Here is a 22621-nt window from a genome sequence, read left to right as displayed (position 1 = left end):
ATAAATGCTTTAATATGATACACATTTGTACACTCCAAAGAATAATTACACAGCAAATATCTATGTAACCGGCTGGGTGCAGTGGCTCACGCCTGTAATCCCAGCACTTTGGGAGGCCGAGTCGGGTGGATCACCTGAGGTCAGGAGTTCGAGACCAGCCTGGCCAACATGGTGAAACCCCCTCTCTACTAAAATGAGAAAAATTAGCCAGGCATGGTGGCACATGCCTGTAGTCCCAGCTACTCGGGAGGCTTAGGCAGGAGAATCACTTGAACTGGGGAAGCGAAGGTGGCAGTGAGCTGAGATTGCGCCATTACACTCCAGCCTGGGCAACAGAGCGAGACTCCGTCTCTAAATAAATAAATAAAGCAAAAGAAATCTATGTAACCATTTCTTGAACAGCCGACGCGCACCTGCAATCCCAGCAGTTTTGGAGGCCAAGGCGGGAGGATCGCTTGAGGTCAGGAGTTTGAGACCGGCATGGGCAATACAGCAATACACCATCTCTTAAAAAAAAAAAAAAAATTGACACTTGTCCAAGCAGACGTCCCCAGCAGAGCCAGCCAGCATGACCGAGCGCCGCGTCCCCTTCTCGCTCCTGCGGGACCCCAGCTGGGACCCCTTCCGCGACTGGTACCCGCACAGTCGCCTCTTTGACCAGGCCTTCGGGCTGGTCGCAGTGGTTGGGCACCAGCTGCTGGCCCCGCTACGTGCGTCCCCTGCCCCCGCCGCGGTCGAGAGCCCCGCGGTGGCCGCGCCCGCCTACAGCTACGCGCTCAGCCGGCAGCTCAGCGGCGGGGTCTCGGAGAATCGGCCCACAGCGGACCGCTGGCGCGTATCCCTGGACATCAACTACTTCGCCTCCGACGAGCTGACGGTCAAGACCAAGGATGGCATGGTGGAGATCACCAGCAAGCACGAGGAGCGGCAGGACGAGCATGGCTACATCTCCCGATGCTTCACCCGGAAATACACGCTGCCCCCCGGTGTGGACCCCACCAAGGTCTCCTCCTCCCTGTCCCCTGAGGGCACACTGACCGTGGAGGCCCCCATGCCCAAGCTAGCCACGCAGTCCAACGAGATCACCTTGGAGTCACGGGCCCAGCTTGGGGGCCTAGGAGCTGCGAAATCCGACCAGTCTGCAGCCAAGTAAAAGCCTTAGCCCGGATGCCCACCCCGGCCGCCGCCACTAGCCGTGCCCCCGCACCCACCTGTGTGTTCTTTTGATAGGTTTATCTTCTGTTGTTCTCAAATAAAGTTCGAAGCAACCCAAAATTTAAAAAAAAAATAGTTGGGCATGGTAGTGCACACCTGCAGTCCCAGCTACAGAGGCTGAGGTCAGAGGATCACTTGAGCACAGGAATTCAACGCTACTGTGAGCTATGATCACGCCACTGCACTCCAGCCTGGGTGACAGAGCAAGACCCTGTCTCTAAAAATAATAATAATTGATAATATTTGATCTTTTTTCCATAGAGATATTGCACATATATTAGGTTTTTCCTACATACTTCGAATTCCATATACTACTGGAAAATGACATCGTTTTTCTTATTTTAGTTTGACTGTTTGCTGCAGGTATATATTTGGTAAATATTTCATCTGTTGCCAGGCTCTGGCCCACAAACGTCCCATTTGCACCCCCACCGCCACCCTCCCATACAACACTGTTATTGCCCCGCCCTGCGGCCTTAATCCCTCCAAAGCTGGGGGAAGAGAGGGGGGTTGTGTGCAGATGGCCCTTCAATCTCGAAAGAAAGATGTCGGAATCTGAAGGCGGGAAAGGTGAGAGAATCCTTCCATCCCTGCAGACCCTTGGAGCAAGGTAGAGCCCCTCTGACCCACCCATTGCCCACCCAGACCCCACCCCCAGAGAGCCTCTAGGGGACAAGAACCACATCACCCTGTTCCCCATCCCAGCCAGCCCCAAACAGCCTCTCTGCCACCAGAGCCCTAACGCTCAGCCTGACCCAGACACCACCCCCCATGGCCTCTCAGCCTCATCCACAGCCTTAGTTCCCAAAGGAAACCCAACCTCAATCCTGGCTCTGACCCCTATCCAAACGCCCACCTGAAACCTAACACAAACTCTACCAGCCAGAAGGCAAACCCCTGTTAGAGTCTAAACCCCACCCCAGATACAGACCTAAAGTGACCTAACCTCAACCTCAACCCCGGGATGTCAATACTGTTAGTGATTGCAGTCTCTGACTTTCCAGAAAGTGCACAGACCCTTTAAAAAAAAAAACAAAAACAAAAGAGAGAAAGAGAGAGAAGACATACTTGATGGTGGTAGTAAGCCATGAGGGCTCTAGAGTTAGACTGAGTGTGACTCCCCATTCAGCCACTTCAGCAAGTCACTTAACTTTTTCTTCTCAATTTTCTCATCTGCAAAATGGGAATAACTCTATGTGCCAGGCATTCTTTTGATTCTGAACTCATTTAATCCTCATAACACCGCTATATTTTAGGTACTGTTATTATCATCCTTATTATACAGATAAGGAAACTGAGGCTCAAAGAGATTACATAATTTGCCCAAGGCAACACATAGCTACCAAGTGGTAAAGTCAGGATTTAAACTCAGGCAGCTTGTTTCATCCAAAGCTGGGAATCTTAACCAGGCCAATCTACCGCCCTCTGAGGCTGAAACGAGACCATGGGAACTGGGAGTGGCCTTAGCTGAAAACCCCAATGCAAAATTCAAGTCCCACTCAAAACTCAACTTCGACCCTAACCTGTATCCTAATTCTAATTCCAATTCAAAATACCCAGTCCTAACCCTTAGACAAAACTCCACTCCTACCTATGTCTAAACCCATCCCCACCCTAACCCAAAACCCACCACTCAAATTTAACCTTAAATTCGCCCACCCCATGGCAATTTAAACTCTACCCCCAACTTAAACACCAAACCCTACTTCACTTGGAAATGTAATCTCACCTTCACTCCCCTATAAACTCTCACTCTAATCTTAATTCGAACACTCTTACTTCCCAGTCCTTAACCCAGCTACTCCCAGTTCTCCCTAATTTTCCATGCTCTTCTCTCCTTCCTTCAAACAGAGGGACAGGATCAGGTAGGAAGCAGCCACAATTGCCCCAATACCCTGTCCCTCCCTGACACAGTTTCTCCATATAGACACCACCCCAGAGCCCAGTCCAGCCAATGGGGCAGGCCCTGGTCCCGAATGGGGGCTGTGCCCCGGGCCCCCAGCTGTGGAAGGTGAAAGCAGTGGGGCATCAGGCCTAGGGACCCCTAAGCGAAGAAACCAGCACAGCAAGCACAAGACAGTGGCAGTGGCCAGTGCCCAGCGGTCACCTCGGGCACTCTTCTGCCTCACCCTGGCCAATCCTCTGCGACGGTCCTGCATCAGCATCGTGGAGTGGAAGCATCCTGGAAGGCAGGGGCAGGGCCCAGGGGTAAGGGTCATCAGGGTACCAGGAGTAAAGAATTGGGTCAGGGCTGGAACAGAGGAGGGCTGAGATCATCAAGGTCAAGAGTCAAGAACTGGGTTGGGGGGCAGGTTCAGAAAGGCAAAGGTCACCAGGGTTCAAGAGTCAAGGACTGAATCACAGCAAGAGTTGGGGATGGTTAAGGTTTCCAGGAGGGACAAAGTCAAGGCCTTGTCAGGGCAGGGGTCGAGAATGCCAGGACCTGTCACCTTGGGCGTCAAGGGTCAGCACTGGGTGGGAGGTTCCCAAGGGAGTAGGGGGGTTCCAATGCCACTCTGCCAGGGTCCTTGACTGTGTCCACCTGAGGCCCTTCGACATCCTCATCCTGCTGACCATCTTTGCCAACTGCGTGGCCCTGGGAGTTTACATCCCCTTCCCTGAGGACGACTCCAACACTGCCAACCACAACCTGGTAAGGCCCGCCCCGCCCCAGCCAGTTCCCAGCCAAATAGAGCCCCAGTAGAGCTCACTCCTTCCAGCCAGACCCCGCCCCCTCTCTGACCCGGATGGCCCTGCCTGGCTCAGCCCCACCCTCGGTCCTGACTATGCTCCCCACGCCCCCGTCAAACCTCGCCTTCAAATAACTCCTCGACTTCCCGACCCGCCCCCCGGTCCCACCCCCAGGAGCAGGTGGAGTACGTATTCCTGGTGATTTTCACTGTGGAGACGGTGCTCAAGATCGTGGCCTACGGGCTGGTGCTCCACCCCAGCGCCTACATCCGCAATGGCTGGAACCTACTCGACTTCATCATCGTCGTGGTCGGGTGCGCGTCTGCGGGAGGCACCCCACCCTAGTCGCCTTCCTACCGTCAGGCCCGCTGAATTCTGGGCTCAGGAAAGCGACTCTTTCAGACCGCCCCCATTCGGCAGCCAGAATCAGGAATATTATTAAAACCCATTTCTATTTCTAGTTACAGGGACTTGTGCTTTTCTGAGAAGGTTAGGGTGGAGGGGGGAATCCCAAGGCCTGACCTCCGCCTCCCTGCCCGGTGCTCCCCCATCAGGCTGTTCAGCGTTCTGCTGGAGCAGGGCCCCGGACGGCCAGGCGACGCCCCGCACACCGGGGGAAAGCCAGGAGGCTTCGATGTGAAGGCATTGAGGGCGTTTCGGGTGCTGCGGCCACTGAGGCTGGTGTCTGGGGTCCCGAGTGAGTGGCACATCCCCCGAGGTCGGAGGTGGAGGGTGGGGGTGGGGCTGAGCTGACCCCGCCCTTATTTCTGCCTCCCCCTCCCTCCCCGCAGGCCTGCACATAGTGCTCAATTCCATCATGAAGGCTCTGGTGCCGCTGCTGCACATTGCACTGCTCGTGCTCTTCGTCATCATCATTTATGCCATCATTGGGCTCGAGCTGTTCCTTGGACGAATGCACAAGACGTGCTACTTCCTGGGATCCGGTTAGTCTGCCCGCCCCTCCTAGGCAGAACATGCCCCCTCCTTCGGTTCCTAGATCCAATGCTGCACTCAGGGAAACCCACTGAAATGCACAAGATTCGGCCCCCAGGCTCAGGTTCCATCCCCAGATAACCAAGTCCCACCCATATATTCAAGACTCTGCCCTAAATCAGACTACAACCCCACCTCGCTAATAGCTCCGCCCCATCACGAGACTGTACCCACAGGCTAAGGTCCTGCCCCGCACTTAAGACTTAAGTGCAAGTGCCCCGCACTTAAGACAAGACTCTGCGCCTGTAATCCCAGCACTTTGGGAGGCCGAGGCGGGCGGATCACGAGGTCAGGAGATCGAGACCATCCTGGCTAACACGGTGAAACCCTGCCTCTACTAAAAAAATACAAAAAATTAGCTGGGCATGGTGGCGGGCGCCTGTAGTCCCAGCTACTCGGGAGGCTGAGGCAGGAGAATGGCGTGAACCTGAGGCTGAGGCAGGAGAATGGCGTGAACCCAGGAGGCGGAGCTTGCAGTGAGCCGAGATGCGCCACTGCACTCCAGCCTGGGCGACAGAGCGAGACTCCGTCTCAAAAACAAAACAAAACAAAACAAAAACTCTGCGCCTTGGCTTACACCTGTATTCCCGGCATTTGGGAGGCCGAGGCGGGAGGATCACTTACGCCCAGGAGTTTGCTACCAGCCTGTGCAAAATAGTGAGATCCAGTCTCCAAAAAATAATAACAAAAACAATTTTAAAAAACTTTATCCTCGGCTGGGCGCCGTGGTTCACGCCTGTAATCCCAGCACTTTGGGAGGCCGAGGCAGATGGATCACTTGAGGTCAGGAGTTCGAGACCAGCCTGGCCAACATAGTGAAACCCCATCTCTACTAAAAATACAAAGTTGAGCCGGGCGTGGTGGTGCATGTCTGTAATCCCAGCTACTCGGGAGGCTGCGGCATGAGAATCACTTGAGCCTGGGAGATGGAGGTTGCAGTGAGCTGAGATCGGATCGCACCACTCACTGCGCTCCAGCCTGGGCGACAGAGTGAGACTCGGTCTCAAAAACAAAACAAAAACAAACCAAAAAAAAGCTTTATTCTCCACGACTGTTCTCATACACTCAGACCATTTACCCAGACTCCCGCCCATGCCTTGCCCCTCCCCTATTTTCAAGAGACGCGTCCAAATTCACAAGACTCCGCCCCCAGGCTCTTGCCTCATTGTTATTTACAAGACTCCACGCCAGGATTTAAATCCCGGTTGGTGGGATCCCTAGCTTCCCAGTGGTTCAGAATACGGAGCTCGCAGGGTTCTGCCCTAGAAGTGGAGCTAAGTGTTGCCTTAGAAAAATCTAGGACTGGCCGGGCACGGTGGCTCACGCCTGTAATCCCAGCACTTTGGGAGGCCGAGGCGGGCGGATCACAAGGTCAGGAGTTCGAGACCAACCTGACCAATATGGTGAAACCCCCGTCTCTACTAAAAATACAAAAAAAATTAGCCGGGCGTTGTGGCACACGCCGGTAATCCCAGCTACTCAGGAGGCTGAGGCAGGAGAATTGCTTGAACCCGGGAGGCGGAAGTTGTGGTGAGCCGAGATCGTGCCACTGCACTCCAGCCTGGGCGACAGAGGGAGACCCCGTCTCAAAAAAAGAAAGAAAGAAAGAGAGAAAGAGAAAAATCTAGGACCCAAGTCGAGCTTCCTAAGTGGGCGGGGCTTCAGGGTGGCAGCGACTGAGAGTGGGCCTGCTTCGAAGCCCCAAGCTCCAGTCTTCCTGCAGACATGGAAGCGGAGGAGGACCCATCGCCCTGTGCGTCTTCGGGATCAGGGCGTGCGTGCACGCTGAACCAGACTGAGTGCCGCGGGCGCTGGCCAGGGCCCAATGGAGGCATCACCAACTTTGACAACTTCTTCTTCGCCATGCTGACAGTCTTCCAGTGTGTCACCATGGAAGGCTGGACCGATGTGCTCTACTGGGTGAGGTGGACTGTGGGCACAGAGCTCAAAGGCTGCACCTGCCTTTCCTCCCTGACACTCACGCAGGAGTGTCTGCCTACCCTGAGGGATGCATGCCTTTTCTCTCCCCAGATGCAAGATGCCATGGGGTATGAACTGCCCTGGGTGTACTTTGTGAGCCTTGTCATCTTTGGGTCCTTCTTCGTCCTCAACCTTGTGCTTGGCGTCCTGAGTGGGTGAGAGACCTAGACACTCCCTGCTTCCCACCCCTCAGCCACTGCCCACTTCTTTGTGCCTGGCAAACTCCTAGACATCCTTCAAAACCCATCTGAAATACTCCTTCATTCAATCATGAGCATCTATTGTATGTGAGGCACCATTTTAGGAGTGGAACAAAAGACAAAAATCTCTGCCTTCCTGGTTTTACATTCTGATGGGGAGAGACAGAAAGTAGCAACATATGCAATAAAATAAGTGTGTGCATTTATATATTGGCACACACATATATATAGTGTTTTATATGGAATATGTACTGTGGAAAGAAAGGAAAGATAAAAGATAAGAATGGAGAGATCTTGTGATTATAAATAGGGATGTCAGGAAAGGCTGTCTTGACAAGGTGTTATTTGAGTAAAAATGTGAAAGAGGCCAGGTGCAGTGGCTCATGCCTGTAATCCCAGCACTATGGGAGGCCAAGGCAGGAGGATGGCTTGAGGTCAGGAGTTCGAGACCAGCCTGGGCAACATAGTGAGACTTCATCTTTACAAAAAATGAACAAAAATAGCTGGGCATGGTGGCGCACACCTGTAGTCCTAGCTACTCAGGAAGCTGAGGTGGAAGGATCGCTTGAGCCCAGGAGGTCGAGGCTGCGGTGAGCTATGATCACACCACTGCACTCCACCCTGAGTGATAGAGTGAGACCCTGTATCTGGGGAAAAGAAAAAAAAAGAGATGAGGTGGGTGCACCATGTGGTTATCTGAGGGAAAAGCATTCCAAGCAAAGAGAATGGTCAGTGCAAAGGCCCTGAGGCTAGAATGTGCTTGGCATATTCAAAGAGTAGCTAGGAGGCTAGTGTGGCTGGAGTGATGAAAGCAAGGTGTTCAGATTGGCTCCTCCCCCTAGCCCTCTATCCTCCTCCCTCAGGGAGTTCTCCAAGGAGAGAGAGAAAGCGAAAGCTCGCGGGGACTTCCAGAAGCAGCGGGAGAAGCAGCAGATGGAGGAAGACCTGCGGGGCTACCTGGACTGGATCACTCAAGCCGAAGAGCTGGACATGGAGGACCCCTCCGCCGATGACAACCTTGGTTCTATGGCTGAAGAGGGCCGGGCGGGCCATCGTAGGCAACTCCAATCTGGCCCATTCCCTGCATGCCTTAGATGTGGTCTGCCCTCCTGAGACCCACCCAGGCCTGATCTGCAACAACTCTAGCCCCAGCCCCCAAGTTATGGCTCAAAATGCAGAATCAAGACCAGCCTCAGCTATAAAGACTCCAAATGACACCCCTACCCTAGACATGGCCCTAACCCTGCCCCCAGTATGTCCTCCCTAATTGTCCTTTCTCTCCCTGCAGGGCCACAGCTGGCCGAGCTGACCAATAGGAGGCGTGGACGTCTGCGCTGGTTCAGTCATTCTACTCGCTCCACACACTCCACCAGCAGCCATGGTGGGGGTCCAGCCAGGCTGGGGTGGGGGTGGGTAGGCAGAGGTGAAAGCCAAAGATTGGACCTCGGGGTCTTCAGGTCCTGACCACTATCCCCACCTTGCCTACAGCCAGCCTCCCAGCCAGTGACACCGGTTCCATGACAGAGACCCAAGGCGATGAGGATGAGGAGGAGGGGGCTCTGGCCAGCTGTACACGCTGCCTGTGAGGGCCCCCAGCCCCTGACCCAGCCCAGAAGCCAGTCCAAACCCTGACTCAAGTCCTTTCTTTAGCCTCAAGCCTCGATCTCAGTCCTTGACCTCTGGCCCCAGTCACTGACACCCCTTCTGCCCTTTACGACACACACCTCCCATCCCCCTTCTTTTTCAGAAACAAGATCATGAAAACCAGAGTCTGGTGAGTTGGGAAAGTTGTGCAAATCCTTGACTCCATAACTTTGAAACCCCCCACCTCCAAGCCCTCATGACCTTTGGATCCCCCACCTGAGCCCCCCAGGGCAGGCTTAGGTAGGTGATCTCAGCCTGTGGGCTCCCCTTCCCCCAGCCGCCGCCTCCGCCGAGCCAACCGGGTCCTTCGGGCACGCTGCCGTCGGGCAGTGAAGTCCAATGCCTGCTACTGGGCTGTGCTGTTGCTCGTCTTCCTCAACACGTTGACCATCGCCTCTGAGCACCACGGGCAGCCTGTGTGGCTCACCCAGATCCAGGGTACACCCCCAGCCTGCTAGTCGTCTCCCCCAGCCTCCTATTCCTTCTACCCCAGAAGCTTAAATCCAAAACCTCTAGGGCGCCTCAGCCCCCAAGACACTGCCTTCCCCCCTACCCAAATAAATCCAGAGCCCTTAGCCTGTCCCATCCCACCTTGTAGCTTACACAGGTAGCACTTGCTGTGTGCCTCAAGCTCCTTTCTCAGCACCTTTCTTTATGTGTACTGACAATTTCTTCACCACAACCTTATGCGAATTAAATACTAAGGCACAGAACACTGAGCATCAAGGCACTGAGGGGTTAAGCGACTAATCTCGGGACCCAGCTAGCGAGTGGCAGAGCCAGAATTAGAACCCAGGCAGCCTGGCTCCAGAATCCAGGCTCTTATCATCACACTGTCTGGAAAAGTTCTCCACATCTACAAAATGGAGATGATAGATAGTAGTATCCACTTCATGAAGCAGCGAAGAGGAGTAAATGATGTAAAGTGAAAAGTGCTTAGGACATTGTATGGCCCACCATATAGCTAACACTTTATAAGTGTCAGCTCTTACTATTATTCATTATAATCTCAGCCCCAGCCTGAATACCGAGCACATTTCTAACCCATAACCCACAAACCAGCCCCAGTCCCGAAGAAACCCTAGACTCTAACTCTACTTGTGAATTTGGGTCTTCTGGACTCATAGACACTGACTCTGGCCCCCACCCCGACTCTGCCCCTCATCCCCATCTCCAAGCCCCTCAAAACTTCACCTACTCTGACCTACAAACTCACCCCAATCCCTAGCCCTAAGCCTTCCCTCAGCCAGCACCTGGCCTGATACCAGCTACCGTGGGTCACCCCATGGTCCCTAGTTACCTCCCCACATGTCACCACAGAAACTGGCCAGCCCGATCATCCCTGCCTCTCTCCCCACAGAGTATGCCAACAAAGTGTTGCTCTGTCTGTTCACGGTGGAGATGCTTCTCAAATTGTACGGTCTGGGCCCCTCTGCCTATGTGTCTTCCTTCTTCAACCGCTTTGACTGCTTTGTGGTCTGTGGGGGCATCCTAGAGACCACCTTGGTGGAGGTGGGTGCCATGCAGCCCTTGGGCATCTCAGTGCTCCGATGTGTGCGCCTCCTCAGGATCTTTAAGGTCACCAGGTTTGTATTAGGGGAGGGGGAAGACAAGGGCCTCAAACACAGCCTCAACACCCCCACCCAAGCTCCAATGATAACTTCATCTGCTTCACCATTCATTGAGCAGACATCCATTGAGTGCCTGCTGTGTGCCAGGCACCCTACCAAGCCCTAGGGAAACACCAGGAATCAAAGCAGACACAAGTTCCTGTCTTCATCCACTGGGGAGAATGTCTACTCCATTTCCATTGCCTTCCTCAACCTCAACTCCTGCTCTAACGTTTTTCCCCAACCCTGTCTCCGATTTCAATGCCATACTATTCCCAGCCCAAACCCCATCCCAACCCCCAACCACAATACCATCTCTGATCCCAACCCCCAACCACAGGTCACCTATGAGCCCATTTACAACGCTAACACCCATTCCCAAGCCCAACTCCATCTCCCACCTCATCCCTAACTCCCAGCCCCATCCCTGTCACTAACCACCAACCATAATACCATCCTCAATCCCCAAAGAGAACTCCCACGTCCCTAACCCTTAACCATCACCCTATCTTCAACTGCAACTCCATTTCCAGCCTCAGCCCCAGTCTCATCCCATCCCCTCCTCTATCCCAGCCCTCAACCACAACTTACCCTTAACTCCATCTCCAACCCCAAATACATCACAACCCCATCCCCAACACCAGGCCCAGTCCCAAGCTGAAACCCAATTCTAGCTTCACCAACTTCCATTAAACCTCCATCCTAGGCTGGATGCGGTGGCTCACGCCTGTAATCCCAGCACTTTGGGAGGCTGAGGCGGGTGGATCACAAGGTCAGGAGTTCAAGACCAGCCTGGCCAATGTAGTGAAACCCCGTCTCTACTAAAAATACAAAAAAATTAGCCGGGAGTGGTGGCAAGTGACTGTAGTCCCAGCTACTCGGGAGGCTGAGGCAGGAGAATCGCTTGAACCTGGAAGGTGGAGGTTGCAGTGAGACGAGATTGTGCCACTGCACTCCAGCTTGGGCAACACAGTGAGACTTCATCTCAAAAAAAAAAAAAAAGATAAGAAAAAAAAAAACTCCATCCTAACCTCATCTCCCAGTCTCCCATTATACCCCTACCACCAACCCTAACCCCAAACTCTCAACTTTCCCCTACCTCTTTACTTCTTCTTCTTTTTTTTTTTTTTTTTTTTTTTTTGAGACAGAGTCTCTGTCTATCGCCCAGGCTGGAGTGCAGTGCAATCCTGGCTCACTGCAAGCTCCGCCTCCTGGGTTCACGCCATTCTTCTGCCTCAGCCTCCTGAGTAGCTGGGACTACAGGCACCTGCCACCATGCCTGGCTAATTTTTTTTTAGTAGAGACGGGGTTTCACCGTGTTAGCCAGGATGGTCTCAGTCTCCTGACCTCATGACCCACACGCCTTGGCCTCCCAAAGTGCTGGGATTACAGGCGTGAGCCACCACAGGGCCCAGCTTCCCCCACTTCTTACTCTCATCTCACCCCAACTCCAAAATCATTTCTAACCCTGACACCAAAGCCTATTTGAGCCCAACCTGCCGAGGTGCATCTCAAGCTGGAGCCCTGCCCTGGCTCCTGATGCTCCAGCCATGTCCAGTGGACATGGCATCGACCCTGCCCCCTCCCATTTCTGCTGCAGACACTGGGCTTCTCTGAGCAATCTGGTGGCATCCCTGCTCAATTCAATGAAATCCATCGCATCCTTGCTGCTTCTCCTCTTCCTCTTCATCATTATCTTCTCCCTGCTTGGCATGCAGCTGTTTGGGGGCAAGTTCAACTTTGACCAGACCCACACCAAGCGAAGCACCTTTGACACGTTCCCCCAGGCCCTCCTCACTGTCTTTCAGGTAGGATCTGGAGACCATGGGATGGGTGGGTCGGGGAGACCCTGGAGTTGGAGGGGGTCCAAGAGCTCCACAGTGACTTCCCACCCCCAGATCCTGACAGGTGAGGACTGGAACGTGGTCATGTATGATGGTATCATGGCATATGGTGGCCCCTTCTTCCCAGGAATGTTGGTGTGCATCTATTTCATCATTCTCTTCATCTGTGGCAACTGTATCCTTGGAGCTTTGTGGGGCTGGATGATGGTGGAGTCGGGGTGGGTAAGGGGAACTGGGTGGTCTATAGGCAGGGTGCTTCTCCATCCTTTGCAGCCTAAGCTCATCCCAGACATCCTGTTGAACGTGTTTCTTGCCATTGCTGTGGACAACCTGGCCAGTGGAGATGCAGGCACTGCCAAGGACAAGGGCGGGTGAGATCTGGCTCCACCCCTAACACAGTCTCTCTCTGGGATCCCTGACTGGGAACCCCTCAGACACCCCCACCACCAGAGATGCCTCTAGTCACCCTGGTAATCCCCATCTCCAGATACCATCTGCCAGTCCTCATTCATTCAACATGCATCTATTGACTGCCTACTGTGTGCCAGGTCCTGTTCTAGATGCTGAGGAGACAACAGGGGTCAAGGCAGACAAGAGTCCTTGCCTTCATGGAACTAACATTCTAGTTGAGGAAGGCAAGAAAAATAAAACAAATGAATATATAATATATGTTAATAATATGTAATAAAGAGAAAACAGAATGAAAGGATAGCAAGAAATGAAGATTGCTCTTTGGGGTTAAGGTCAGCAAGGAAGGTCTCTGTGAGGAAGTGACATTTCACCAGAGACCTGAATGAAGTGAGGGAGTGAGCCATGCAAATATCTGGGGGAAGAGTATTCAAGGAAGGGGAGTGGCAAGTGCAAAGCTTCTGGGGCGCTAATGTTCTTAGCACTTTTTTTTTTTATTCTGATATGGAGTTTCACTCTTGTCATCCAGGCTGGAGTGCAGTGGTGCTATCTCAGCTCACTGCAACCTCCGCCACCCAGGTTCAAGCAATTCTCCTGCCTCAACCTCCTGAGTAGCTGGGATTACAGACGTACACCACCACGCTCAGCTAAATTTTTTTGTATTTTTAGTAGAGATGGGGTTTCACCATGTTGGCAAGGCTGGTCTTGAACTCCTAACCTCAGGTGATCCACCCGCCTCAGCCTCCCAAAGTGCTGAGATTACAGGCGTGAGCCACCGCACCTGACCACATTCTTAGCACTTTCAAAAAATACCAGCGATGCCCGGGAGCAGTGGCTCACGCCTGTAATCCCAGCACTTTGGGAGGCCGAGGAGGGTGGATCACCTGAGCTTAGGAGTTCGAGGCCAGCCTGGCCAATATGGTGAAACCCTGTCTCTACTAAAAATACAAAAGAAAATTAGCTGGACAAGCTCGCTTGAACCCAGGAGGCGGAGGTTGCAGTGAGCCAATATCGCACCACTGCCCTCTAGCCTGAGCAATAGAGTGAGACTCCGTCTCAAAAAAATAAAAACAGTGAGGCTGGAATGGAGTGAGGAAGGAGGAGAGTGGTATGGAGTGAAGGTCAGTGGAGGAAATGGAGGGCCAGATTGAGGGCATTCTGGGCCAGGGTGAGGACTGTAGTTTTTCCTGAATTAAGGAGACGTGGGAGGGTTGTGGGCAGAGTTGGGATATCCCAGACAGGGTTTAACAGGCTCCCTCTGGCTGCTTTGAGAACGGACTGTTGGGAGGGGCAGTGGGGAAGAGCGGAAGCAAGAAAGTTCTATGGGACCCAAGAAAGGTCTGTTCTGACTGTAGTGATCTCCCTTAGCCCATCTGCAGCAATCACCCCTATTTCCTCGCACAGGGAGAAGAGCAATGAGAAGGATCTCCCACAGGAGAATGAAGGCCTGGTGAGTTAGATGCCTGGGCACTGTCTACACCTCCCACTCCCACCACTACCTGTCTATGTGTGCATATCTGTTTTTTTGTTGTTGTTGTTTTATTTTGAGATAGAGTCTCACTCTGTCGCCCAGGCTGGAGTGCAGTTGTGCCATCTCGGCTCACTGCAACCTCTGCCTCCTGGGTCCAAGAGATTCTCCTGCCTCAGCCTCCCAAGTAGCTGGGATTTACAGGCATGCGCCACCACACTCGGCTAATTTTTGTTATTTTTGAAAGAGACAGGGTTTCACCATGTTGGCCAGGCTGGTCTCGAACTCCTGACCTCAAGTGATCCACCTGCCTCAGCCTCCCAAAGTGCTGGGATTACAGGCATGAGCCACTGCGCCCAGCCATATGTGCATGTCTTTAACCTTCATCCTCTGCCTATTCTTTCCCCTATTATTACATTTCTTCCATGCCTCCCCTGTGTCCATTCCCTGTGTCTCCCTCACCATTGATGACTCCCGTCTTCCTGTCCTCAGGTGCCTGGTGTGGAGAAAGAGGAAGAGGAGGGTGCAAGGAGGGAAGGAGCAGGCAAGTGGGCAGGGCCAGGTGGAGCAGGTGTGGGACCTTGGGGAAAGAGCTCAGGCAGACAGCTCCTGACCCCTGAGACCCTCCTCTCCAGAGATCAGCCTTTTCCAAGATCATCCTGAAAATAACAGACTTGGTATGTGGTCAGCAACATTTGGGAACATTGAGGTTAAAGAAGGGAAATGCAGCCTGGGCAACATAGCAAGACCCCATCTCTAAAAAAGAAATTAATTAGCCAAGCATGATGATGCAAGCCTGTAGTCCCAGCTACTCAGGAGGCTAAGGTAGGAGGATTGCTTGAGCCCAGAAGTTCAAGGTTGCAGTGAGCCATGATGGCACCACTGAAGTCCAGCCTGGGGGAGCAGAGTAAGACCCTATCTTTAAAGAAAAACAAGAAGAAGAGAAACACGTTTTGTTTACTGCTGAACTTCTCAGAGCCTTTATTATAAAATAGTCTGTATATACAACATTCTTTCAACACACATTTACTGAGCTCCTACTGTGTCCCAGGCACTGTTCTAAGTGCTGTGGACATAGCAGCATACAAAACAGACTAAAATACCTTCCTGGAGGAGCTGACATTCTAGCAGGGAAATGGGAAGAATTGACCACGTGGCAAACACTGTTCTGGGTGCTTTACATCAACTTGCTCAATTAATTTTTTTTTGCTTTTCTCTGGTGCCAGACATGGAGGAGGAGGAGGAGGAGGAAGAAGAGGAAGAAGAGGAAGAAGAGGAAGAGGGTGCAGGGGGTGTGGAACTCCTGCAGGAAGTTGTACCCAAGGAGAAGGTGGTACCCATCCCTGAGGGCAGCGCCTTCTTCTGCCTCAGCCAAACCAACCCGTGAGTGCCGGAAGTGGCAGGGGGTGAGGCAGGAGGGGCTAGGGCAGGTGGAGGAGCATGGAGGAGCAGCCAAGGTGGGAGTGGGGGCATGGGTGTTGTGTCAGGGCCAGAACTGTATCCCTTGGAATCCCTGAACAATTCTGTGGTCCTGAGTTCTGACCATGGCCCACTCCCTCTCCACAGGCTGAGGAAGGGCTGCCACACCCTCATCCACCATCATGTCTTCACCAATCTTATCCTGGTGTTCATCATCCTCAGCAGTGTGTCCCTGGCCGCTGAGGACCCCATCCGAGCCCACTCCTTCCGCAACCATGTGAGCCTTTGGCTGGGAGCTAGGAGCTGAGGGGACACTCCCAGGGGTGTCCTAGTGGGCACAAGCTGGGTCAGGGTGGAGATAAGGAGAAGAGCCCTAGGTGAGCCGAGAGAGGGGCTCATTAACGCAGCTGATGCAATGCCAGCCTTTACGGCATGTGCAACACACGGGGAAGCACCAGGGAGGAGATCAATATTTGACTGAGGAGGAAGCTGTGCTCAGAGAGGTTAAGCAGGCCAAAGGCGCCCATGTAGCTGGGTAGAGGCAGAAGGGTCCAAATTTGAACCCTAATCTTTCTGATGGCCAAGCCTTTTGAGAAGTCACCTAGGATCCCCCTCAGCCGTGACTCAGTGGCTCCCCGCTCTTTCTCACACCCCAGATTCTGGGTTACTTCGATTATGCCTTCACCTCCATTTTCACTGTGGAGATTCTACTAAAGGTGACTAATGGGACCCCAGTCCTACCCTCAGTTGCCCTGGCACTCTCCCCACCGGTTCTTGCAGCCCACCTCTCCTGTCCCCATCCCCACCTCCCCCAACCCCCACCATCCCCAGGTCTGAGTCTAGCCTCTTGTCCTGTCCCCAGATGACAGTGTTTGGGGCCTTCCTGCACCGCGGCTCCTTCTGCCGTAGCTGGTTTAATATGTTGGATCTGCTGGTGGTCAGTGTGTCCCTCATCTCCTTTGGCATCCAGTAAGTGACAGATCCCCAGCCCACCCCATTCCTCTCACAGCCAGGGCCCAGCCAGGGCCAATGCCTGAGGATTGCCCCTTCCCCAGCTCCAGCGCCATCTCGGTGGTGAAGATTCTGCGAGTACTCCGAGTACTGCGGCCCCTCCGAGCCATCAACAGGGCCAAGGGACTCAAGGTAACCCCACCCCACCCAAACCCACAGGACCCAGGCCCTGCCCTGCCCCTGGGGCCAGGATCACTGATCAAACTGACCATTTGCACGGATGCATGACCATACGGCCTGGACCTGACACATAAATACACATCTCTGACCACTAGCCATGTGGCCTGACCCATGTTCCTTCCAAGTGACCATATGTTTCTACCAGTGGCCACATTTCTCAGACCCAGCTCCCTGACAGGTGGCCACAGATCCCCACCCGGCAAACACTTATTCCTGGTGGATGCCCACACGTCTCTAGCCCATAACACTGCCTCTTGAACACATGTTGCTAACCATACATCCCTGACCCATCACCACATGTCCCCAGCCCAAGTCCCTCAGCTGCATCTATGACCAGAGTCCCTGCCCCATGACCACTGTGGCCTGTAGTGTTCAGTAGCCATATGCTTGGGTGCCCGCAGCATGTGGTGCAGTGTGTATTTGTGGCCATCCGGACCATCGGAAACATCATGATTGTCACCACACTTCTGCAATTTATGTTCGCCTGCATCGGGGTGCAGCTCTTCAAGGTGGGGCAAACACTGGAGGGAATGCCAGGCAGGGGTCTGGGCGGGAGTGTGATGAAGGGTGAACCTACTTGACAGACATCCTCTCTACAGGGGAAATTCTACACCTGCACGGACGAGGCCAAACACACCCCTCAAGAATGCAAGTGAGTGCCCAAGACCCTGCCGTCCACGGAGCTCAGGACCCCTCCCAAAGACTTTAGAGCCTCTAGATCTCACCAAGGCCCAAAGATATAGTCCCAGAATTGTCCCAAGAACTGCAGAGGCCCTCAGATCTCACCAAGTCTTCGGCGGCCCCCCGATACCTCCCCCAAATCCCTCTCCGCATTCCCCAAGTGACCTACATTCCACTCCAGACCCATTAGCAATCACCATTCCCACCCTGAGCCCCCAGCTTCCATCTTGAGACTCCTGTAGAGGGTAGTAGCTAAAAGCCTGGGCTGTGAAGTCAGACATTACGGTTCAAATCCACTTCATGAGACTTAGGTACATTTCTTAAACTTACTCAGTTCCATTTCACTCAACTGAAAAACGGGGCTAAACAGTGCCTATCTCACAAGGCTGTTGTGAAGAGTAAATGAGCTACTACATGGAAAATGTACTTTGTACAATGTAAAGTTGCTACACAGAAAACCTAGCTTGGGCCGGGCGCTGTGGCTCACGCCTGTAATCCCAGCACTTTGGGAGGCCAAGGCAGGCAGATCACCTGAGGTTGGGAGTTCGACACCAGCCTAGTCAGCATGGTGAAACCCCGTCTCCACTAAAAATACAAAAATTAGCTGGGCTTGGTGTTGTGCACCTGTAATCCCAGCTACTCGGGAAGATGAGGAGGGAGAATCGCTTGAACCCGGGAGGCGGAGGTTGCAGTGAGCCAAGATCATGCCACTGCACTCCAGCCTGGGCAGAGTCTTTTTCAAGACTCCGTCTCAAAAAAAAAGAGAGAATAGAAAAGAAGAGAAGAAAAAGAAAATCTAGTTCAGTGCCTGGCATATAGTTACTGCTAATAAACGTTGGCTATTATTCGTTTTACTTTTTCCTGGTGGGCGATGATGAGGATGATAATGGTGATGATGAAATGATGCCAACTATGTGCCAGACACTAGTCTCATTTATTGACTTGTGACATTTATTAATCCTTGTGACAAGCCAGGAAATCGATTCTGTTATTATCCTTATTTCTTAGAATGGGGAAACAGAAGCACAGAAAGGGTAAATGCGCAAGGTCACCCAGCCAGGACATGGAGGGACAGGATTTGAACCTAGAACATATTGCTCCACCACTATGTCCTGCTGCCTCCATGCTGGAGACCCCAGACCCTTTCCCCAGTTCCTCACCCCTCCTCACCCATCTAACCTGTTTGCACATCCACAGGGGCTCCTTCCTGGTATACCCAGATGGAGACGTGTCACGGCCCCTGGTCCGGGAGCGGCTCTGGGTCAACAGTGATTTCAACTTTGACAATGTCCTTTCAGCCATGATGGCCCTGTTCACTGTCTCCACCTTTGAAGGCTGGCCTGCGTGAGGGACAGGGCCCTGGGTTTATCAGGGGATGAGGCAGGGGTCTCTGCAGGATTGGGTTGGGATCTCCTGGGAATGGGTGGGAGTGTACCTTGGGGATGTGACGAAGGTCTCTCGAGACTGGATAGGGTTTTCTGGAGAGTGGTGGGTGTATCAGAGGACTGTAGAGGTGGAGTTCCCAGAAGCTGGGTGGGGGTTCTTTGGGGACTTGAGTGAGGGGTCTCCAGGAATTGGACAGCGGTTTCTAAGGGACTAGGTAGCTAGATAGAAGCCTGGAAAGGATTGGAGATGGTTTGGGGGGACAGAGTGGAGGTCTGAGGGGACTGGGATTGGTCTCTGAAGAGATGAAGCAGGGATTCAGCGATTTCTAGAAAGCTGTGCAGGTCTTTGGGATACTCATTGTGGGGCTCTGTGGGGAGATGGAGTGGGGATTCAAGTTGATGGGACAGGGATAAATTTACAGATCGTTGGGGGCTTGTGTGGAAGTTCTGGGGAGGCGCATGGGGGTCTCCAAGTGGTTGGAGAAGGGGATTTGAAGGTCTGTGGAAACTTAGGGGATTTCTGGGTCTTTGAGGTTCTGAATGGAGATTCTCTGGAGGACTCTATGGGGGTTTCTGAGGGCATGGGACAGAGGATTTGGACTCTTTGAGGGCCTGGTAGAGGTCTCTTAGAGTATGTATGGAGGTCCCAGGTGGTTAGGTCAGGAGATTTAGGGGTCTTTGGGGTGCCAGGCAGGAAACTCTGGGGTGTCTGTGATAAGTAGACTGGGGGCAGGTCTGAGGGGGCTGGGATATCCCCTCACCTGCCCCCACCTCTACCCCCCCTCTGGCTCCCACAGACTGCTATACAAGGCCATCGATGCATATGCAGAGGACCACGGCCCCATCTATAATTACCGTGTGGAGATCTCAGTGTTCTTCATTGTCTACATCATCATCATTGCGTTCTTCATGATGAACATCTTCGTGGGCTTCGTCATCATCACTTTCCGTGCCCAGGGCGAGCAGGAGTACCAAAACTGTGAGCTGGACAAGAACCAGGTGACCTCTGACCCCTGACCCCCTATGGATGGTCACCAACCCTTCCCTCCTTGCCTCAGGACCCCACTGCTCACTCATGCCCTGCCCTGGTATGCAGCGTCAATGTGTGGAATATGCCCTCAAGGCCCAGCCACTCCGCCGTTACATCCCCAAGAACCCGCATCAGTATCGTGTGTGGGCCACTGTGAACTCTGCTGCCTTTGAGTACCTGATGTTCCTGCTCATCCTGCTCAACACAGTTGCCCTAGCCATGCAGGTCTGAGATCCCTGCCTGACCCCCGCCAGACTCCTGACCCTATTATCTCCACATAATCCCTTGGGAACCATTGGGAACATTTAAGGCTGCAAATAACAAACCCCCTGCCAACTAACAGCAACTTAAGCTATAAAGACATTTGCCACATTTCTTTAAGTCTATGGCCAGTACTTGTAAGTTGCATTCTGATTTCGGAGATGTAAGAATGTGGAAAAAAAAAAAAAAGTAGCCAGTGGCCATTGTAAGTTGCCATTTGTTATAAAATGCGCCCCAATTTCAGAGATTCTAAAATGTAAAAAGATGTGCCTCCTGGAGTCAATGAACTGTGGTAATTACCTCATGTATTGAGAAGTGCAGAGGTAGGCTGTTTGTTCATTGTTCATCCGGGACCCATGCTCTATCTTTCTGCTTCACCATTCTTAGCAAGTTGGCATTCATTTTCATGATTGTTGTTTCATGATCACAGCTCCAGGCATCAAAACCACACTCAAGGCAGGGAGAGCTGCACCTGGGGCCTCTCCTTATTTGATCCTTTCATCGGAAAGCAAAATTTTTTTTACACAAGCTGCTAACCAACAGCAGATTTATGTTTATGTCTCACTAGTCAACCTGGCCTTGCCTAACTACAAGAAAAGCTAGTAATCAAGAACTAAACTTTCCAGTATCCATAATGGGAGGCAGACAGTGCAAGAGGTTTGACCAATACACAGTGCAATCAAGTCCCCAGACTCGTCTCAGCCCAGGCCAGGGAATATTTGGTTGGGTGTGGCGGCATCTCTGCCTCAGGCTCCATCTCAACCTGATTTTCTCCTGCAGCACTATGAGCAGACTGCTCCCTTCAACTATGCCATGGACATCCTCAACATGGTCTTCACTGGCCTCTTCACTATTGAGATGGTGCTCAAAATCATCGCCTTCAAGCCCAAGGTGGCCCCCCTTCTCTAGCCCCACCCACCAGTGGATGAATTCCTTGGGAGTGGAGCTCATTGCAGAGCTCTGGGGTTGGCGATGCGGGCAGCAGCCAGGGAGTGTGAGTCTAGGGAGTGAGAGGGACTCAGGTGCAGGCCCATCGTGTGATCCAAGCGAAGCCCTGCCCCCCTCCGGCGCCCCCTACTACTACTGGCCCCCTACCCTGGCTTGCGAGCTTTGAGAAGACAGGGCACTGCTTTTCTCCTACTTGCAGCATTACTTCACTGATGCCTGGAACACGTTTGACGCTCTTATTGTGGTGGGCAGCATAGTGGATATTGCCGTCACTGAAGTCAATGTGAGAACTGGCCTTTCCACTAATCCACTCTCGCCCTATACACCTTCCCTCACCTCTATCCCGGGGTTCCCTTTCACGTGGGTGGGTGGCTCCCACGCACATCCTCCCTACTCCTGGAGACTCAGTCCTCATTCTAGCTCTATCTCTTCTGAGTCCCTGTTGGGTTCAGCAAAAGTCCCCCTCTACTGGCTTTCTCATTCCATTTTGTAACCTATCTACTGGCTCCACCATCTCCTGAAATGCCTCTCCTGTTATTTCTGTTATCTCTTTCATTGCCTCTACATCCCCCATCCATTGGCTCCGTCATGTTCACTGGCTCCTGCTTTGGCTCCATCTTTTCTGATGACTTCATTGGCTTCATTTCTCCACCAACTTCATCATCTCTGACACTGGCTCTTTCATGGCTCTGTCATCACCATTGACTATATCATTGGCTCCATCACCTCCATTGGGTACTACATGGTTCTGTCACCTCAACTGACAACGCTGCTGGTTCCCTATCTCCATCACTGGCTTCTCCATTGGCTTCTCCATCGGTTCTCTCATCTCCATCATCTCTATGACACCACTGGTTCCATCATTTCCTCTATTGGCTCCAATGTCTCTGATCCATCACCTCCTTTACTCTCTCCTCTCCCTTCCATTCCCATTACCCACTTTTTCCTAATCCTAATCCACTACCATATAAACTTTCCCATTGTCCCCTGTGTAATGACCCCACCATCACCCCCTATATCTGCTCCATCATATCTCACCTTGTTCATTTGGGCCTATGATGTCATCATCTCCTGTATCACCTTTTTCTTGGCCATATCTCCCTCCAGAATGGTGGCCACCTTGGCGAGGTAGCCCACCCTAATAACAGGGACTCTCTGCTTCTTTTCCCATGTCCCTCTGTCCCTCCATCCCTCCAGATTACCCTAGGGCCTGAGTGATTTGGGTACTGGGAGGGCCAAAGCATGAGATAGGGAGATAGCTGGAGTAAATGCAAACTGAGCATCCCTACTGCACCCCTCACCCCAGAGCTCTGAGGACAGCTCCCGCATTTCCATTACCTTCTTTCGCCTCTTCCGAGTTATGCGGCTGGTCAAGCTTCTCAGTAAGGGTGAAGGGATCCGCACATTGCTCTGGACATTCATCAAGTCCTTCCAGGTAATCCCCTACCCCATCCCTTTGACCATACCTCGCCCCCATTTCACACTTCTCAGCCTGCCCCTTTACCACCCTCAGAACTACATCTCCCAACATGCCATACCCATTTCCAAATTATTATTCCAATTTTCTCTTTTTTCTGGGCTCTCAGTTTCCAACACACCTCTGGTCTCACTGACCTTACTCTATCTACTTAACACTATGTTCACATTTGAGAG

General features: G+C 52.6%; 1 protein-coding gene and 1 pseudogene across 5 annotated transcripts in view, besides 4 other annotated features; both read left to right on the top strand.

The window, feature by feature from the left end:
* HSPB1P2 (heat shock protein family B (small) member 1 pseudogene 2) lies at positions 530-1270 on the top strand (annotated as a pseudogene).
* Positions 1730-22621, top strand: part of CACNA1F (calcium voltage-gated channel subunit alpha1 F) — a 28278-nt gene continuing 7386 nt past the window's right edge. The window contains exons 1-33 of one of the 5 annotated variants that reach the window (NM_001256789.3): positions 1730-1785; positions 3143-3392; positions 3763-3868; positions 4081-4220; positions 4461-4603; positions 4698-4850; positions 6623-6819; positions 6931-7034; positions 7943-8100; positions 8368-8460; positions 8568-8661; positions 8827-8853; positions 9001-9161; positions 10084-10309; positions 11934-12141; positions 12232-12352; positions 12467-12548; positions 13990-14035; positions 14546-14597; positions 15280-15436; positions 15620-15749; positions 16129-16188; positions 16335-16441; positions 16528-16615; positions 17065-17172; positions 17263-17315; positions 18542-18688; positions 19527-19728; positions 19826-19984; positions 20801-20911; positions 21168-21251; positions 22076-22096; positions 22275-22403. In NM_001256789.3, coding sequence (NP_001243718.1) covers positions 1761-1785; positions 3143-3392; positions 3763-3868; positions 4081-4220; positions 4461-4603; positions 4698-4850; positions 6623-6819; positions 6931-7034; positions 7943-8100; positions 8368-8460; positions 8568-8661; positions 8827-8853; positions 9001-9161; positions 10084-10309; positions 11934-12141; positions 12232-12352; positions 12467-12548; positions 13990-14035; positions 14546-14597; positions 15280-15436; positions 15620-15749; positions 16129-16188; positions 16335-16441; positions 16528-16615; positions 17065-17172; positions 17263-17315; positions 18542-18688; positions 19527-19728; positions 19826-19984; positions 20801-20911; positions 21168-21251; positions 22076-22096; positions 22275-22403 — 3942 coding nt within the window. In that variant the 5' untranslated portion in view covers positions 1730-1760. Of the gene's footprint in view, positions 1826-3142; positions 3393-3762; positions 3869-4080; positions 4221-4460; positions 4604-4697; positions 4851-6622; positions 6820-6930; positions 7035-7942; positions 8134-8367; positions 8461-8567; positions 8662-8826; positions 8854-9000; positions 9162-10083; positions 10310-11933; positions 12142-12231; positions 12353-12466; positions 12549-13989; positions 14036-14545; positions 14598-15279; positions 15437-15619; positions 15750-16128; positions 16189-16334; positions 16442-16527; positions 16616-17064; positions 17173-17262; positions 17316-18541; positions 18689-19526; positions 19729-19825; positions 19985-20800; positions 20912-21167; positions 21252-22075; positions 22097-22274; positions 22404-22621 lie in introns of those variants that run through there. The other 4 variants (NM_005183.4, NM_001256790.3, XM_011543983.3 and 1 more) reach the window with 4 other exon arrangements.
* Positions 3880-4538: an enhancer, noted in NCBI's record as "H3K27ac-H3K4me1 hESC enhancer chrX:49086994-49087652 (GRCh37/hg19 assembly coordinates)". NCBI's record gives its function as "activates a minimal SCP1, AML or CMV promoter by ChIP-STARR-seq in naive H9 embryonic stem cells {active_cell/tissue: H9 hESC(naive)}" and the evidence as "EXISTENCE:reporter gene assay evidence [ECO:0000049][PMID:30033119]".
* Positions 3880-4565: a biological region, named in NCBI's record as "H3K27ac-H3K4me1 hESC enhancer GRCh37_chrX:49086994-49087652".
* Positions 4186-4235: an enhancer, noted in NCBI's record as "active region_29636". NCBI's record gives its function as "activates an Ori minimal core promoter by ATAC-STARR-seq in GM12878 lymphoblastoid cells {active_cell/tissue: GM12878}" and the evidence as "EXISTENCE:reporter gene assay evidence [ECO:0000049][PMID:35858748]".
* Positions 4496-4565: a silencer, noted in NCBI's record as "silent region_20844". NCBI's record gives its function as "represses an Ori minimal core promoter by ATAC-STARR-seq in GM12878 lymphoblastoid cells {active_cell/tissue: GM12878}" and the evidence as "EXISTENCE:reporter gene assay evidence [ECO:0000049][PMID:35858748]".

Source organism: Homo sapiens, chromosome X, assembly GCF_000001405.40.
Source record: "Homo sapiens chromosome X, GRCh38.p14 Primary Assembly".
NCBI lineage: Eukaryota > Metazoa > Chordata > Mammalia > Primates > Hominidae > Homo > Homo sapiens.
The sequence above is the reverse complement of the archived record's forward strand: the minus strand, read 5'-3'. Positions and strand labels throughout refer to the sequence as shown.